At 53.7% G+C, this 16045-nt stretch overlaps 1 protein-coding gene across 4 annotated transcripts in view, besides 3 other annotated features; it reads right to left on the bottom strand.

Annotated features, from left to right (window-relative positions):
• Positions 1 to 13903, bottom strand: part of ELAVL3 (ELAV like RNA binding protein 3) — a 29721-nt gene extending 15818 nt beyond the window's left edge. For all 4 annotated transcript variants that reach the window (XM_024451413.1, XM_011527778.3, NM_032281.3 and 1 more), the window contains exon 1: positions 13457 to 13903. In XM_024451413.1, the coding sequence (XP_024307181.1) occupies positions 13457 to 13465 (9 nt within the window). In that variant the 5' untranslated portion in view covers positions 13466 to 13903. The remainder of the gene's footprint in view (positions 1 to 13456) is intronic.
• Positions 12421 to 12615: a silencer, noted in NCBI's record as "fragment chr19:11590379-11590573 (GRCh37/hg19 assembly coordinates)". NCBI's record gives its function as "represses an EF-1alpha promoter that drives an FKBP-Casp9 reporter gene in an ReSE screen in K562 erythroleukemia cells {active_cell/tissue: K562}" and the evidence as "EXISTENCE:reporter gene assay evidence [ECO:0000049][PMID:32094911]".
• Positions 14990 to 15239: a silencer, noted in NCBI's record as "silent region_10112". NCBI's record gives its function as "represses an Ori minimal core promoter by ATAC-STARR-seq in GM12878 lymphoblastoid cells {active_cell/tissue: GM12878}" and the evidence as "EXISTENCE:reporter gene assay evidence [ECO:0000049][PMID:35858748]".
• Positions 15270 to 15709: a silencer, noted in NCBI's record as "silent region_10113". NCBI's record gives its function as "represses an Ori minimal core promoter by ATAC-STARR-seq in GM12878 lymphoblastoid cells {active_cell/tissue: GM12878}" and the evidence as "EXISTENCE:reporter gene assay evidence [ECO:0000049][PMID:35858748]".

A 16045-nucleotide genomic window follows, 5' to 3' on the forward strand; every position in this document is an offset into this window, starting at 1 on the left:
CGGGCGCAGTGGCTCACGCCCCTAATCTCAGCACTTTGGGAAGCTGAGGCGGGCGGATCACCTGAGGTCGGGAGTTCGAGACCAGCCAGACCAACATGGAGAAACTCCATCTCTACTAAAAATACAAAATTAGCCGGGCGTGGTGGCGCATGCCTGTAATCCCAGCTACTCGGGAGGCTGAGGCAGGAGAATTGCTTGAACCCGGGAGGCGGAGGTTGTGGTGAGCCGAGATTGCGCCATTGCACTCCAGCCTGGGCAACAGGAGTGAAATTCCATCTTAAAAATAAAATAAAATAAATGCTTTCGCTCTCAGAAAAGTAAATCTAACAGTAGCTTTCTTTGTTTTTGTTGTTGTTGTTTGTTAGTTGGTTGCTCTGTCACCCAGACTGGAGTGCAGTGGTGCGATCTCGGCTTGCTGCAACCTCCGCCTCTTGGGTTCAAGCGATTCTCCTGCCTCAGCCTCCAGAGTAGCTGGGATTACAGGTGCATGCCACTATGCACAGCTAATTTTTATATTTTTAGTAGAGATGGGGTTTCGGCACGTTGGCCAGGCTGGTCTCGAACTCCTGACCTCAGGTAATCCACCCACCTCCGCCTCCCAATGTGCTGGGATTACAGGCGTGAACCACCGCGTCTGGCCCCATTTTTAGTAGCTTTTATTTTAGAAAAAGGGTCTCGCTCTGTCACCCAGGCTGGAGTGCAGTGGTGCCATGAAGTCTGACTGCATCCTCGACCTTCCAGGCTCAAGCAATCCTCCCACCTCAGCCTCCCAAGTAGCTGGAACAATAGGCGCATGCCACCATGTCTGGTTAATTTTAAAATTATTTGTAGAGATGGGGTCTCACTATGTGGCCCAGGCCGGTCTCAAACTCTTGGGCTCTGGTGATCCTCCCACTTTGGCCTCCCAAAGTGCTGGGATTACAGGTGTGAGCTACTATGCCTGGCCCTTTTAGTAGCTTTGAAGCCTCATAAGCCCTTCCCTAAACATATTTATTTGCCTCCTCCCACCAAAGGTAATTCCTATCCCAAATGTGCTAATTATGTCTTTTGCTTCATGCATAAGTTTCTTACTAGTCATTTACCTGCCTTCATCTCCCCTTGCCACCCCCAGTTTTCCCACTGAGCTATTTTGTTCTTTTGCTTTTATTGTATAACATAAAACACCTTCAAATAATGACAATTTTATTTTTTCATCTTCAGTCTATACCTGTTATCTATTTTTCTTGTCATTTCAGGGGCTACAGTGTGATAGTGGCTTCTTTATTCCTGATTTTTTTTTTTTTTTTTTAAAGACAGAGTCTCCCTCTGTCACCCAGGCTGGGGTGCAATGGCACGATCTTGGCTCACTGCCACCTCTGCCTCCCAGGTTCAAGCAATTCTCCTGCCTCAGCCTTCCAAGTAGCTGAGACTACAGGTTTCCACCACCACGCCCGCCAAATTTTTTTGTGTGTTTTTAGTAGAGACGGGGTTTCACTATGTTGGCCAGGCTGGCCAGGCTGGTCTTGAAATGCTGACCTCGTGATCTGCCTGCTTCAGCCTGCCAAAGTGCTGGGATTACAGGCATGAGCCACCACGCCCGGCCCTTTATTCCTGCTGTTAAGGGAGATGCTTTAAACATTTTGCAGCCAAACATGATCTTTGCTATGGGTTTTTTTCTAGATGGCCTTTATCGGGTTAAGAACATTTTCTTTTATTCCTAGATCCTAAGACTTTTTTAAAAAAGGATGTTGAATTTTATTGACTTTTTTTTTACATCAATTGAAACCATTTTTTAGCTTTAATTAATTAATTTTTGAGACAAGGTCTCGCTCTGCCACCCAGGCTGAAGTGCAGTAGGGCAATCTTGGTTCACTGCAACCTCTGCCTTCCAGGCTCCAGCAATCCTCCCACGTCAGCCTCCCCAGTACTTGGGGCTACAGGTATGCGCCTCCAAGCCTGGCTACTTTTTTTTTCTTTGTATTTTTAGTAGAGACGGGGTTTTGGCATATTGCCCAGGCTGGTCTCGAACTCCTGGGCTCAAGCAATCCTCCTGCTTTGGCCTCCCATAGTGTTGGAATTACAGGCGTGAGCCACCGCACACAGCCCATTTTTTAGCTTTAATACATTAATGTCATGAATTACGTTAATTGATTTTCTTTTTTTTGCGCGGGAGGGGGGACGGAGTTTCGCTCTTGTTGCCCAGGCTGGAGTGCAATGGCGCGATCTTGGCTCCCCCCAAACTCCGCCTCTCAGGTTCAAGCGATTCTCCTGCCTTAGCCTCCTGAGTAGCTGGAAGTATAGGCATGCGCCACCATGCCCGGCTAATTTTGTATTTTTAGTAGAGGCGGGGTTTCTCCATGTTGGTCACACTGGTCTCGAACTCTTGACCTCAGGTGATCCACCCGCCTCAGCCTCCCAAAGTGCTGGGATTACAGGCGTGAGCCACCGTGCCCAGCCGTTAATTGATTTTCTAATATTAAATCAATCTTGATGGGATAAACCAAACTTGGTCATGCATATTGCAGTTTTGTTTATATACATTGCTTGATTTAATTTGCTGAATTTTTTGGTGGTTTAGCATTTTTTTACATATATGTTGAGGAGGACATGCTGTTTATTTAATTCACACAAAGACTCTAAAATGGTAGAAGTTGGCTGGGTACAGTGACTTACGCCTGTAATTCCAGCACTTTGGGAGGCCAAGGTGGACGGATTGCTTGAGCTCAAGAGCTCGAGACCAGCCTGGGCAACATGGCGAAACCCTGTCTCTACTAAAAATTTAAAAACTAGCTGAATGTGATGTTGTGTGCCTGTAGCAAAGATACTTGGGAGGCTGAGGTGGGAAGATCACCTGAGGTCGGGAGGTCAAGGATGCAGTAAACCATAATCACACCACTGCACTCCTGCCTGGGCGACCGAGTGAGACCCTGTCTCAAAAATAAATAAATAAAGCTGGGGGCAGTGGCTCAAGCCTGTAATCCCAGCAGTTTGGGAGGCTGAGGCAGGAGGATCACTGGAGGTCAGGAGTTCAAGACTAGCCTGGCCAATATGGTGAAACCCCGCCTCTACTAAAAATACCACAATTAGCCAGGTGTGGTGGCACACGCCTGTAATCCCAGCTACTCGGGAGGCTGAGGCACAAGAATTGCTTGAACCCGGGAAGTGGAGGCTGCAGTGAGCTGAGCTCGTGCCATTGCACTCCAGGCTGGGTGACAGAGCGAGACCCCATCTAAAAATAATAGTAATAAAATAAATAAATAAGGCCGGGCATGGTGGCTCACGCCCATAATCCTAGCACTTTGGGAGGCCGAGGCAGGCAGATCACCTGAGGTCGGGAGTTCGAGACCAGCCCGACCAACATGGAGAAACCCCGTTTGCTACTAGAAATACAAAAAAAAAAAAAAATTAGCCGGGCGTGGTGGCGCATGTCTGTAATCCCAGCTACTCAGGAGGCTGAGGCAGGAGAATCGCTTGAACCTGGGAGGCGGGGGTTGCGGTAGCTGAGATCCCACCATTGCACTCCAGCCTGGGCAACAAGAGCGAAACTCCATCTCAAAATAAAACAAAATAATTAATTATTAAATGGTATAAGTTAACTTTGCTATGATAGATGGAGAATCTGAGGCTTAAAGATGTTAAGGAACGTGCTGAAGTCACATAGCCTATCTGCTCTGGCATTGGAAATGAAATGAAGACCCTCGGAATGTGAAGACCACTCTACAATTTTCTTTTCTTTTTTTAGAGACAGGATCTTGCTTTGTTACCCAGGCTGGAGTGCAGTGTTGTGATTGTAGTTCACTGCAGCCTCAAACTCCTGGGTTCAAGCATTCTTCCTGCCTCAGTCTCCCAAGTAGCTAGGACTACAGGTGGGCGCCACCATGCCTGGCTAATTTTTAAAAATTTTTTTGGGCTAGACGCAGTGGCTCATGCCTGTAATCCCAGCACTTTGGGAGGCCGAGGTGGGCGGATCACGAGGTCAGAGTTTGAGACCAGCCTGGCCAATATGGTGAAATCCCGTCTCTACTAAAAATACAAAAATTAGCCGGGCATGGTGGTGTGCGCCTGTAATCTCAGCTACTCAGGAGGCTGAGGCAGGAGAAACGCTTGAACCAGGGAGGTGGAGGTTGCAGTGAGCTGAGATTACATCATTGCATTCCAGCCTGAGCAACAGAGTGAGACTCCATCTCAAAAAAAAAAATTTTTTTTTTTGAGCCAGGCGCAGTGGCTCATGCCTGTAATCCCAGCACTTTGGGAGGCCGAGGCGGGTGGATCATGAGTTCAGGAGTTCGAGACCAGCCTGACCCACGTGGTGAAACCCCATCTCTACTAAAAATACAAAAATTAGTGGGGCGTGGTGGCACACGCCTGTAATCCCAGCTACTCAGGAGGCTGAGGCAGGAGAATTCCTTGAACCTGGGAGACGGAGTTTGCAGTGAGCTGAGATCGCGCCATTGCACTCCAGCCTGGGCGACAGAGAGAGACTCTGTCTCAAAAAAAAAAAATTTTTTTTTTGTAGAGATGGGGTGTCACTATGTCGCCCAGGCTGGTCTCAAACTCACAGCCTCAAGCAATCCTCATGCCTCAGCCTCCCAAAGTGTTGGGATTACAGGCATGAGCCACTGAACCTGGCCCAATTTTCTTACTGTAACAGTCAACCAGGCTGGTACTGGCTCTGACAACTCACTATGCGTCTTTGGATATGCCTGCTAGGGCCTCTGTTTCACTTTGCTGAAAATTCAGAACAATTGGCAAGGGCTATATGAAGGGCTATGTAGAGGAGAATTTTAAAGCCACTTCAGAAATCAGCAGCAAACAGTGCTGGGATTTGACTGACCTTATCTGTCAGGGACATAAGAAGGTCAAGTAGCCAGCATTTCCTTACATCTTCTTCAGTGGCACAGTTGGCACATAGGTTTACCCTCACTTGAAAACCTGAACTGGGCCAGGCATGGTGGGTCACGGCTGTAATCCCAGCCAGCACTTTGGGAGGCTGAGGCAGGTGGATCATCTGAGGTCAGGAGTTTGAGACCAGCCTGGCTAACATAGCGAAACTGTCTGTACTAAAATTACAAAATTAGCCAGGTGTGGTAGTGGACGCCTGTAATCCCAGCTACTCAGGAAGCTGAGGCAGGAGAAGTGCTTGAACCCAGGAGGCGGAGGTTGCAGTGAGCCAAGATCGCACCACTGCACTCCAGCCTGGGCGAGAGCAAGACTCCGTCTCAAAAACAAACACACATACTGATTGGTAGTGTCTTCCTAGAGGAATGAATTAAGAAGAATTCAGAAACCACATTTAGGCAAGGCGTGCTGGCTCATGCCTATAATCCCAGTACTTTGGGAGGCCGAGGTGGGAGGACTGGTTGAGCTCAGGAGTTCAAGCCCAGCCTGGGCAACACAGTGAGATCTTGTCTCTACAAGAAATTTAAAAATTAGCTAGTCATGGTGGCTTGCACCTGTGGTCCCAGGTACTCAGGATGGTGAGACAGGAGGATCACTTGAGCCCAGGAGGTGGAGGTTGCAGTGAGCCATGATGGCACCACTGTACTCCAGCCTGGGCAACATAGTGAGACACTGTATAACAAAAAAGAAAAAGAAGAAGAAGAAGAAGGAGAGGGAGAGGGAGAACGAGAAGGAGAAGGAAAAGGAGAAGGAGAAGAAGAAGCCAGGCGTGGTGGCTCACGCCTGTAATCTCAGCACTTTGGGAGACCAAGGGGGGGTGGATCGCCAGAGGTCAGGAGTTTGAGACCATCCTGACCAAACATGGTGAAACCCCGTCTCTACTAAAAATACAAAAATTAGCCAGGTGGGGTGGTGGGCACCTGTAATCCCAGCTATTTGGGAGGCTGAGGCAGGAGAATCACTTGAATCCGGGAGGTGGAGATTGCAGTGAGCCGAGATCACACCATTGCACTCCAGCCTGGGTGACAGAGTGAGACTCTGTCTCAAAAAGAAAAGAAAAGAGGCAGGGCGCGGTGGCTCACACCTGTAATCCCAGCACTTTGGGAGGCCGAGGCGTGTGGATCACGAGATCAGGAGATCGAGACCATCCTGGCTAACACGGCGAAACTCCGTCTTTACTAAAAATACAAAAAATTAGCCGGGCATGGTGGCGGGCGCCTGTAGTCCCAGCTACTCCGGAGGCTGAGGCAGGGGAATGGTGTGAACCCAGGAGACGGAGCTTGCAATGAGCCGAGATCGCACCACTGCACTCCAGCCTGGGCGACAGAGCGAGACTCCCTCTCAAAAAAAGAAAAGAGAAAAGAAAAGAAAAAGAAAAAGAAATCACATACAGTTTTCAGTAGGAAAGATCACTGTGATTGATTAGCAATGTCTGCTGTGGCCACACAACTAGAAACAGCCAGCAGGTACATATTATCTCAACCATCCCTGACTCAAGCTCCAATATCTTAATTGTTCCCAAATATTGGCTACTACTGTGTGCCAGGCACTGTGCAAAGCACTCTACATGCAAGTTTTCTGTTCTTATTCACAACAATCCTAAAAAGAGAATTTTTCCTCCCCCACTTCACCCCCACTTAATACATGAGGAAACTGAGATATTTTAAAAATTGCCAAAGATCATGCAGCATATAAATGGTGGAACAGGGATTTGCATATGAGTTTTTCTGATCCAGAGTGTGCATTTCCAACTTCCACTGCCAACCAAGAACAGTGCCAGCTCTAACATTTCCCAGCTGTGTGTCCTCAGATAGACTACTTAGTGCTTCTGAGCCTCTGCTCCATTTTGCTGCAAACTCCAAATTATAGTCACACTGGCCTGGGGTAGTAGCTAAAGCCATATGCTGTAAAGCATCTGGAATTGGTTAGTTACGTCTGTCATGGGCATGATCATGGGAATTAAAAGCAGGCTTGTCACATCCATCATCCGTACCTCATAATACACCTACATTATTTATTATTATTATTAGAGACGGGGTCTCGCTCTGTCACCCAGACTGGGGTGCAGTGGTATGATCATGACTCATTTCAGTCTAAACCTCCGGGGCTGAAGTGATTCTTACACCTCAGCCTCCTGAGAAGCTGGGACTACAGGCATGTGCCACCATGCCTGGCTAATTTTTTTAATTTTTTGTAGAGATGGGTTCTTGCTATGTTACCAGGCTGATCTCAAACTCCTGGCCTCAAGTGATCCTCCCACCTTAGTTTCCCAAAGTGCTAAGGATTCAGTTGTAGCCAGGCACGGTTGCTCACGTCTGTAATCCCAGCACTTTGGGAGGCCGAGGCAGGCAGATCACGAGGTCAGGAGTTCCAGACCAGCCTTGCCAACATGGTGAAACCCTGTCTCTACTAAAAATACAAAAAAATTAGCCAGGCGTAGTGGTGGGTGCCTCTAATTCCAGCTACTAGGGAGGCTGAGGCAGAATTGCTTGGGAAGCAGAGGTTGCAGTGAGTTGAGACTGTGCCATTGCACTCCAGCATTGCACACCAGCCTGGGTGACAGAGTGAGACTCCGTCTCAAAAAAAAAAAGAATTCAGTTGTGAGCCACCATGCCTGGCCTATTATTCTTTTATTTAAAGATGGGGTCTCTCTATGTTGTCCAGCCTGGAGTGCAGTTATTATTCACAGGTGCAATCGTAGTGCACTGCAGCCTCCAACTCCTGGACTCAAGCAATCCTCTCATCTCAGCCTCTCAAGTAGCTATGACTACAGGCATGTGCCATTGCATGGGGCAATACTGCTATTTTATTTTATTTTATTTTTTTGAGACGGAGTCTTGCTTTGTCGCCCAGGCTGGAGTGCAGTGGCGCGATCTCAGCTCACTGCAACTCCGCCTCCTGGGTTCACACCATTCTCCTGCCTCAGCCTCTGGAGTAGCTGGGACTACAGGCACCCACCACCACGCCTGGCTAATTTTTTGTATTTTTAGTAGAGATGGGGTTTCACCGTTAGCCAGGATGGTCTCGATCTCCTGATCTCGTGATCCACTGCCTCGGCCTCCCAAAGTGCTGGGATTACAGGCATGAGCCACCGCACCCGGCCTAATACTGCTATTTTAATGAGCATTCCACTACACTGAGCATCTACTGTGTGCCAGGCACTGTGGGAAATACTTTGAGGCATATTTTCAGTTACTCTCCCAACAATCTTAAAAGACTGAGAACACATTCTCCATTTTACAGGTGACAAAAGTGAATTCAGAGACGTATGAATAGGGAAATTCATTTCAGTCCTGGATCTGTTTGCAGAGCTGTTTTTCATCATTATGGCCAATGCCTTGTCTCGCTATGTTGCCCAGGCTGACCCTGAACTCTCAGGCTCAAGTGATTCTCTCACCTCAGCCTCCCCAGTAGCTAGGACTACAAGTGCAATTCATCATGCCCAGCTAATTTTTTATTTTTTGTAGAGATGGGATCTTGCTATGTTGCCCAGGCTGTTCTCAAACTCCTGGTCTCAAGGGATCCTCCTGCCTCTGCCTTCCAAAGTGTTGGGAGTACAGGCATGAGTCACTGCACCTGGTCACCATCTACTTTTTTTTTTTTTTTTTTTGAGACAGAGTCTTGCTGTGTCACCCAGGCTGCAGTGTAGTGGCACGATCTTGGCTCACTGCAACCTCCACCTCCCAAGTTCAAGCAATTCTCCTGCCTCAGCCTCCGAAGTAGCTGGGACCACAGGCGCGCACCACCATGCACAGTGAATTTTTTGTATTTTTAGTAGAGACACCGTTTTGCCATGTTAGCCAGGCTGATCTCCAACTCCTGACCTCAGATGACCTGCCTGCCTTGGCCTCCCAAAGTGCTGGTATTACAGGCATAAGCCACCACGCCTGGCCCATTTACTCTTGTAAAACAGATGGCACAGAAGGTCAGCTCCCCTGCATCTCCAATTGGCTGAGTTGCTCCTGGGAGGGCTGCCTGGAGGACTACTCTGAAGACACATCCGGCCTCAAAAGGAATATGCATTGGGTTGATTAGCAATGTCTGCAAGGCACCCGCAGTGATGCAGTAACATGCACTGCACAGCTCTGCATTCCCGTCTCCTAACATTAATACTTAACTGATCGCGTAACCATGTATTGAGGTGCCTGTTGTGTGCCAGGAAAAATTCCTCATGTGAAACTTCCAGGTGGTTCTCCTGCCGTTGAACATGATGAGATTCCTTTCTCCATTTAATACACGAGGAAAGAGAGTCTCAATGAAGGGACAGGGTGACTGGGGAGGCTGAGACAGGAAGATCATTTAAGCCTAGGAGTTTGAGAGCAGCCTGGGCAACACAGTGAGATCTTGTTTCCACCAAAAAATTTCCAAAAAAATTAGCTGAGTGTGGTGGTGCATGCCTGTAGTCCCAGCTACTTGGGAGGCTGAGGTGAGAGGATCAACTTGAGCCCAGAAGTTTGAGGATGCAGGGAGCGTGATCATGCCACTACACTCCAGCCTAGGCGAGAGGGTGAGACCCTGACTCTTAAGGGAAAAAAAAAAAAATGAAGGAATAGGAACAGAGTTGCATAGGCGGCAAATGGTGAAACAAGAATTCAGGCTGGGCTTGGTGGCTCAGGCCTGCAATCCCAATACTTTGGGAGGCCTAGGCGGGAGGATCACCTGAGGTCAGGAGTTCGAGACCAGCCTGGCCAACACAGCGAACTCTCATCTCTACTAAAAATACAAAAATTAGCCAGGCATGGTGGTGGGCACCTGTAATCTCAACTACTCGAGAGGCTGAGGCAGGAGAATCACTTGAACCTGGGAGGCGGAGCTTGCAGTGAGCCGAGATTTCACCACTGCACTCTAGCCTGGGCGACAGAGAAAGACTCTGTCTCAAAAATTAGAAAAATAAAATAAAAAATAAAAAAAAAAGAATTCAGTTCCAGGGTTTGGACTTTAGAGCCCACTCCCCTAACGAAAAGACCAGTAATATAATAACAAAATAATAACAGCAAAGCGAAGCTGAGTACCTGCTCTCTGCCGTGCCCTGGGCATCATGACATTTAAACCCACTCCATCGGTTGAGTCTATTAATTCAATTCAACAAATATTTACTGAGGGCTACACATGTCAGACTCCACCCTCCTCATGCTGTCCTCTGATAGTTAGGTCACCTCTCTATGCCTTTCTGTTCTTCCTTAAGGAAGGTATGGCACAGAGGTCTCACATGTATGGAGCTGGATTCTGAATTTGCATCCTGGTTCATTAAGAGTTTTGTGGGGTTTTTCTTTTCCTTGTTTATTTTTGAGACAGGGTCTTGCTCTGTTGCCCAGTCTAGAGTGTAGTGGTACGATCATGGCTCACTGAAGCCTTAACCTCCTTCTGCCTCAACCTCCCAAGTAGCTGGGACTATAGGCTTGCACCACCCAGCCGGCTAATTTTTCTCTTTTTCTGTAGAGATGAGGTTTTGCCATGTTGCCCAGGCTGCGATCCTCCTGCCTTAGCCTCCCAAAGTGCTGAGATTACAGGTGTGAGCTCCACCATGACTGGCCCTGGAGATGGATTCTGAATTTGCATTTAAGCTCATTGAGGTAAGAGTTCTATGTTGAGTTGCTGATATTTGCTATAAGAGCCCAGTGAGCAGTTGGCAGTACACAAGCCACTGCTTCTGGACATGCTAGATCCCTATTTTTTTTTTTTTTTTTTTGAGATGGAGTCTTGCTCTCTTGCCCAGCCTGGAGTGCAATGGCATGATCTTGGCTCAGTGAAACCTCTGCCTCCCGGGTTCAGGCAATTCTTCCACCTCAGCCAGGTAGCTGGGACCACAGGTGTGCACCATCGCGCCCCGCTAACTTTTTATATTTGTAGTAGAGACGGTGTTTCACCATATTGGCCAGGCTGGTCTCGAACTCCTGACCTCATGTGATCCACCCACCTTGGGCTCCCAAAGTGCTGAGATTACAGGCATGAGCCACCGTGCTAGATCCTATTTTTGAACTCCACTGAGCATGTGCAAAGTTTTCATTGACCTCCCACAACCACAGTGAATGGTATGAAGGGTCTCCTCCATTTCTCAGATGGGGACACTGAGGGTTAGTCACAGGGACCTATGACTTGTCCAGGGTGACAGGAGGAGGTGGAGGGGATGGTGTCAACATCTGACTCCTGATCCGATGACCCTAGAGCCGAAAGAGTTACTGGCTGCCCCCCTCCCATGGTGTCCCCAACCTGAGCAGAGTGAAGAGGTGACTGGGTGGTTCAGACCCAGGTTCTTGAGGCCTAGCCTGCTAATCTGGCCACCACCCGTTCTCCCTCCCATTTGTGCCAGAGCTTAGCGGGACCAGTATCTCGTTTCCTCTGTGGCTGAGCCGGCTGAGCTGATAATGGGGATCAGATTGATGGAAGCCACACCCGCCCTGCCCCAGCCTGCAGTAAGTGCACAGCCTGGGATGGTGGCTACATGGGCATCAAAGGGACTTCGGCGACTGGCCCCAGACAGAGATGGGGGGGTGGCAAAGTCAGGGAGGAGGAGGGCAGATAAAAGATGGAGGGTTAGGGAAGCTTCCCATTCTCTCCAGTGCTTCTTCTAAGTCTCCCCCGACTTTTGGTTTCTCTCTCCCTCTTTCTTCCTCTGTTTCCCTCTCTTCTCCACTGTCCTGCCCTCTCTCTGAACCGTTCTGTGTCCCTGGCCTCATCACTCTCTCTTCCTCTTTTCCACCATCGCACATACATCTGACGTATGGGTTTTGCAGTGAACACACCTGAGGCCACTTTTTTCTTAAAACCTCCTGTGTCTGACCCCCACGGCCCCCAGCTGCGGCCCCTGGCCCCAGTCACAGTGACAGATGCCTGGATACCGGCGACAATAGGGCATTGAGTGGCTATGCATGGTGAGGCTGGGCTACCACGTGGTGCTGACTGAGCCTCCTACTTCTGGGCCCTTCTTCAATGCAGGGTCCTCCTGGTCTTAATTTGTCACCTCTCTTCCTCCCAGCCTGTCCCCATGATACATCTCTGCCCCAGGGCTCGCTCACTGGAGAACCTAGGTCCTCAAGGCCCTTGTGTGACCTCTGACCACACCCTCTTTCCCTTTGTGCATTAGTTTCCTTTTTCAAATGAGAGAACCGATCAGAGGACGCTTAGGAGATGCTGGACTGTTGCGGGAGTTCTGAGGTCCTCAGGAGGCCACACTCCAGTTCCCAGACCTGGGTGAACAGCACGAGGCCCAGAGAGGGAAAGGAACGGCCTGAGGTCACACAGCAGGTGAGCCAGGCCTCCGGGACCTCATTTCTCAGAGCCAGGTGGGCGGGTCCCAGGGTCCAGGAGGGGAGAGGCTTAGGCATGGAGGGAGCGCCAATCATGCCCCCACCCCCAGTGCTAGCCACGACTCGAAAAAGGGGCCCGGAAAGAGACACAATGCACAGAGACACACACGCAGAGACGGAGAGATAGGAAGAGTGGAAGAGGGAGGCCCAGGCGCCGGGACCAGACAAAGGACGCGCGGCGGCGCGGGGAGCGGAGTCGCGCGGCAGGGGCGGGGGTGGAGCCGGGGTGGGGCTATAACTGGCCAGCCCCGCCCCCGGGATACGCCCGGGCTGCCGAGTGGGAATCCGAGGGCTCGGGCGAGGCCGGGCCCCCGGGGCCCTGGGGGCGGGGCCTAGATGGGCGTGCCCGGGCGTGGCCAGGCAGGGCGTGGCAGGGCGGGAGGGGCTGCGCGCTCGGGAGCTGACCAGCTCCGTGGCTGCTGAAAGCACCGAGCGCGGGGCTAGCGGTGCGGGCGAGCAGGCGGGCGGGCCGCGCTCAAGGTCACCTCGCGGCCCAGAGCCTTGGCGAGGTGGGGAGCCTGGACCTGGCCTAAGGGGGCTGTCTCGGCCTCCCACCCCATCTCCCGGGGGGCGGAGACCCGGGAGCCCAGAGGTGCCCCCCCAACCCGCGGGCCCTCCTCTCCCCTCCCCCTCCCCGCAGCCCGAGGCGCCCGCGCGAGGCTGCGGCCCGCGAAGAAGCGCCGAGAAACAAAGGGACGCGGCAGCAGCGGCGGCGGGCCCGCGGGGCCTCCGGGCGCGCCCCCTCCTCTCCCCTCCCCGCTTGCCGCAAGGTCGACGGGCTCGAGGACGAGACGCCCGCCTCCCGGGTGCGGCCGAGGCCCGGGGCGCGCGATCCGACGCCACCCGCTTTCCCAGGGCTCTCGGGGACGCTTTGTCGCTTTGGCTTGGCCCAGCACCAGTGATCGGGCCCTGCGTTTGCCTGGGCGGCCTGCGGGGTCTGGGCCTGGATGGAGGAAGCATCCTTAGCCGCCGCGGCCCCTCCCCCATCAGGCCTGCTGGAGAGGGGGCAATCCCGCCTCCAGGGCGGCGTCGGACGCCTCCCGAATCGCAGTCAGTCTCCCTAAGGCCCTCTCAGACCAAGCTCTAAGCGCCCTCAGCACTCTGGGCGCGGCCCTGCCCACTCTCAGGCCCCGAGGCTTGGTCCTACCCCCCCAACCCGGGCCTAGCTAGGCCTGGTCCTACCCCCCCCGCCGCACCCGCCCAATCTCCGCGGAGCCTGGGCCCAACTCCTCCCCGTCCCGATTCCCTTTCGGCGACAGGGGAATACCTACAGTGACCATTCTTGTGTGCCCGGCGGGCGCGGTCCGTGTTGAGGGGGGCTCCGGGGGTGGTGCACTCCTAGGGGGGCGCCCGATGCTCACGCTGGGGTCCCGCCCGGGCGGCCTCTGGTGCGGCCGCTGCAGATGTGGCGATGAAGGCGGCGGCTCCCTCGAGGGCCAGGGACGGGCCCGAACCCGGGGATGCGCGCGCGGATGGCCGGGCCCCGGGGTGGCCTGCGGGCGGCAGGGGATGGAAAGAGGGAGCGGGCGCGGGGTTGAGGACGCCCCCTGCGCGGCCCCGCGGGGCCCGGGGAGGTTGCGCTTCCCGACAGAGATCGCGGCGCTCTGCCTTTCGCCGCCGCCCCTCGGTCGGTCCTGTCCGGTCCCGTGTGTTCAAGTCCTCTCCCCTCGCCCACCCTCCCTCCCTCCCTCCGGCCCGCGCTGCGCGCTCCGCGCTCTGGACCGCGCCGCCGCCGCCCCCAGCCCTTTATAGCAGCAGCTGCCAGCGCCGGCGTCGCTCATTGGCTGCGGCGACCGAGCTCCGCCTCCTCGCGGCTCCCGACGGCGCGGCAGGTGGAAGTGAGCGCGCACTGGTCGGGACTCTGAATCCCCCAAAAGCGCATCCTAGGTGCTCGGGTTGCCAGATTTGGGCCCTCCTTCCCTCGAGGCCCTTGCTTCCTACCCTGGCACCCCTTCTTGGGCTGGCTTTCGGGCCAGGAGACGGGCTCCCCTCCTCCGTCCAGCTCCTAGAGCTGGAGGAGCCAACAGAGCGAGGAGGTATTAGTGGCCTGAATATGCGACCTTCCAGAGGTGTTGTCCACTGAGGGAACTGGACAGGGGATCAGGAACCAATATTTTAGTAGGCAGAGGCCTGGGTCCCCAGATTTGGAGGCACCAGTGTAGACCACCTCAAGACCACGGGGGAGGGTGGCTACTGTGGCCCTAGTCTTCTGCAGAAGGAGACTGGGACGCTGTTGGTTTTGAGTGAGCTGGATCCTTCTAGGGTTCAAAAGGTAAGGACTGGCACTCCCCAGTGCAAGGAAACTCCGCACTGCTCCGAAGGGGGTGAAAAGGTTTGGGGCTCAGTGTTCTGGACAATCATCGCTGGAGCCATGCAGCTCTGGGAAACCACGGATCCTTCTTGGACCCCACAGAACTGGGGTGGGTGGATCTGCCACATAAATGTCCTGGCTTTCTAGGCTCGTGATTGGTCCTCCTGACTGTGGAGTCATGCTCGCTCTCTGCTAGGGGGAACCTGGCCTCTCTCTAAGGCGTTGGGGGTGGCGCAGCCTCCTTTGGTGCGCGGGCGCCGGTGCATGTTTACGTCGGGGCGCGGGAACTAGCACACACTGGGGCGGGGTCGCCAGGGCGTGAGGCTTCAGCACCACAGACAGCAATCCGACAGTCCGGTCGAGGGCGCTGCCGGCGAGGTAGCCCAGACCCCCTAACTGGAGAGCGGCAGTCCCCACCCAATCCTCGTTCCTGCACGCCCTTTAGGCTCCAGACTGTCAGAGAGCGCCACCAGCGAGGAGAGCCTAATTTGCCCAATCAGGGGCGGCCCTTGAGATAACCAGTTACTGGAAGATGCCCTAGAGATCGAGCCAATGGGAGTGCGCGCACCAGGGGATGCTGCCACGCCTGGAAAGGGCAGGCCAATCGCAGTGGCCCGCGCAATAGGGGCGGTGGCGGTGCAGATCCCCGGGTGGCCCCTCTTGGGCTCGCCGGGGCGACCTGGCTGCGGGCGCTAGGGGCCCCAAGCGATGGTCTGTTCCCCACCCCGTGTTCCTCCCGGTTTCCGTCATCGGAAACTGAGCTAGGAGGGGGGCTGCTCCTGGGCGCGCGGACCCCGCTGCGGTTCCCATGGAAACCTGCCGGCTCCGGCAGTGCGGGGAGAGTGGAGGGGACCTGCCTCGCGGGGGGAGGGAGCTCGCGGGGGCGGCCCCAGCGGCCGGACTCGCTCATCCTTGCCGATTCTTCTGTCCCCGGCTGGGGTAGCCCCCCGGTCCGCAGCAGGAACTGAGGCATAGCTGGGGCCCCGCCTCATCCCCCGAACTGGTGAGGAACCGGCGGGGCCAATCTGCGCGTGGCGCCACAGGGCTCCCCCGGGCACGTGCCTGAGCTCGCGGCTGCGGTCCCCAGGGTCACGTGGCTGCGGCCACCAGGGCCTACGCGCCTCGCACGCCACCTAGCGGCCGCGCCTCGCTCCCCGCCCCTCTCTCTAGCGGCCCGCAGGAGGCGGCGGCCTCAGCATCCTCCTCCGGGAAATGGGGCCAGGGCAGCCGCCGCCAACTCCCCTTCCCCCCGCGGCTTCCTGTTTTAGGAACACGCCGAGCTAGTTCTACCTCGGGGTTTTGGCACTGGTTGTTCCTCTGGCCTGAGAATTTCCTCCCCCAGCTTTCTTCTGGGATAGATCTTTGTCATTCTGGTCTATGCGCAAATGCCACCTCCTCAGAGGCCCTCCCTGACCACCGACCTAAACAGCATCCCCGGAAAACAACGCATCACTCTCTCTTTTGCATGGCGCTTGTCGCTAGCTGCAAATGTTTCTCATTTTAGGGGTTTACTGAACACCTCCCCATCTCATCCCGGAGCTCACTGAGG

The sequence above is a fragment of the Homo sapiens genome, chromosome 19, assembly GCF_000001405.40.
Source record: "Homo sapiens chromosome 19, GRCh38.p14 Primary Assembly".
In the NCBI taxonomy this organism is placed as follows: domain Eukaryota; kingdom Metazoa; phylum Chordata; class Mammalia; order Primates; family Hominidae; genus Homo; species Homo sapiens.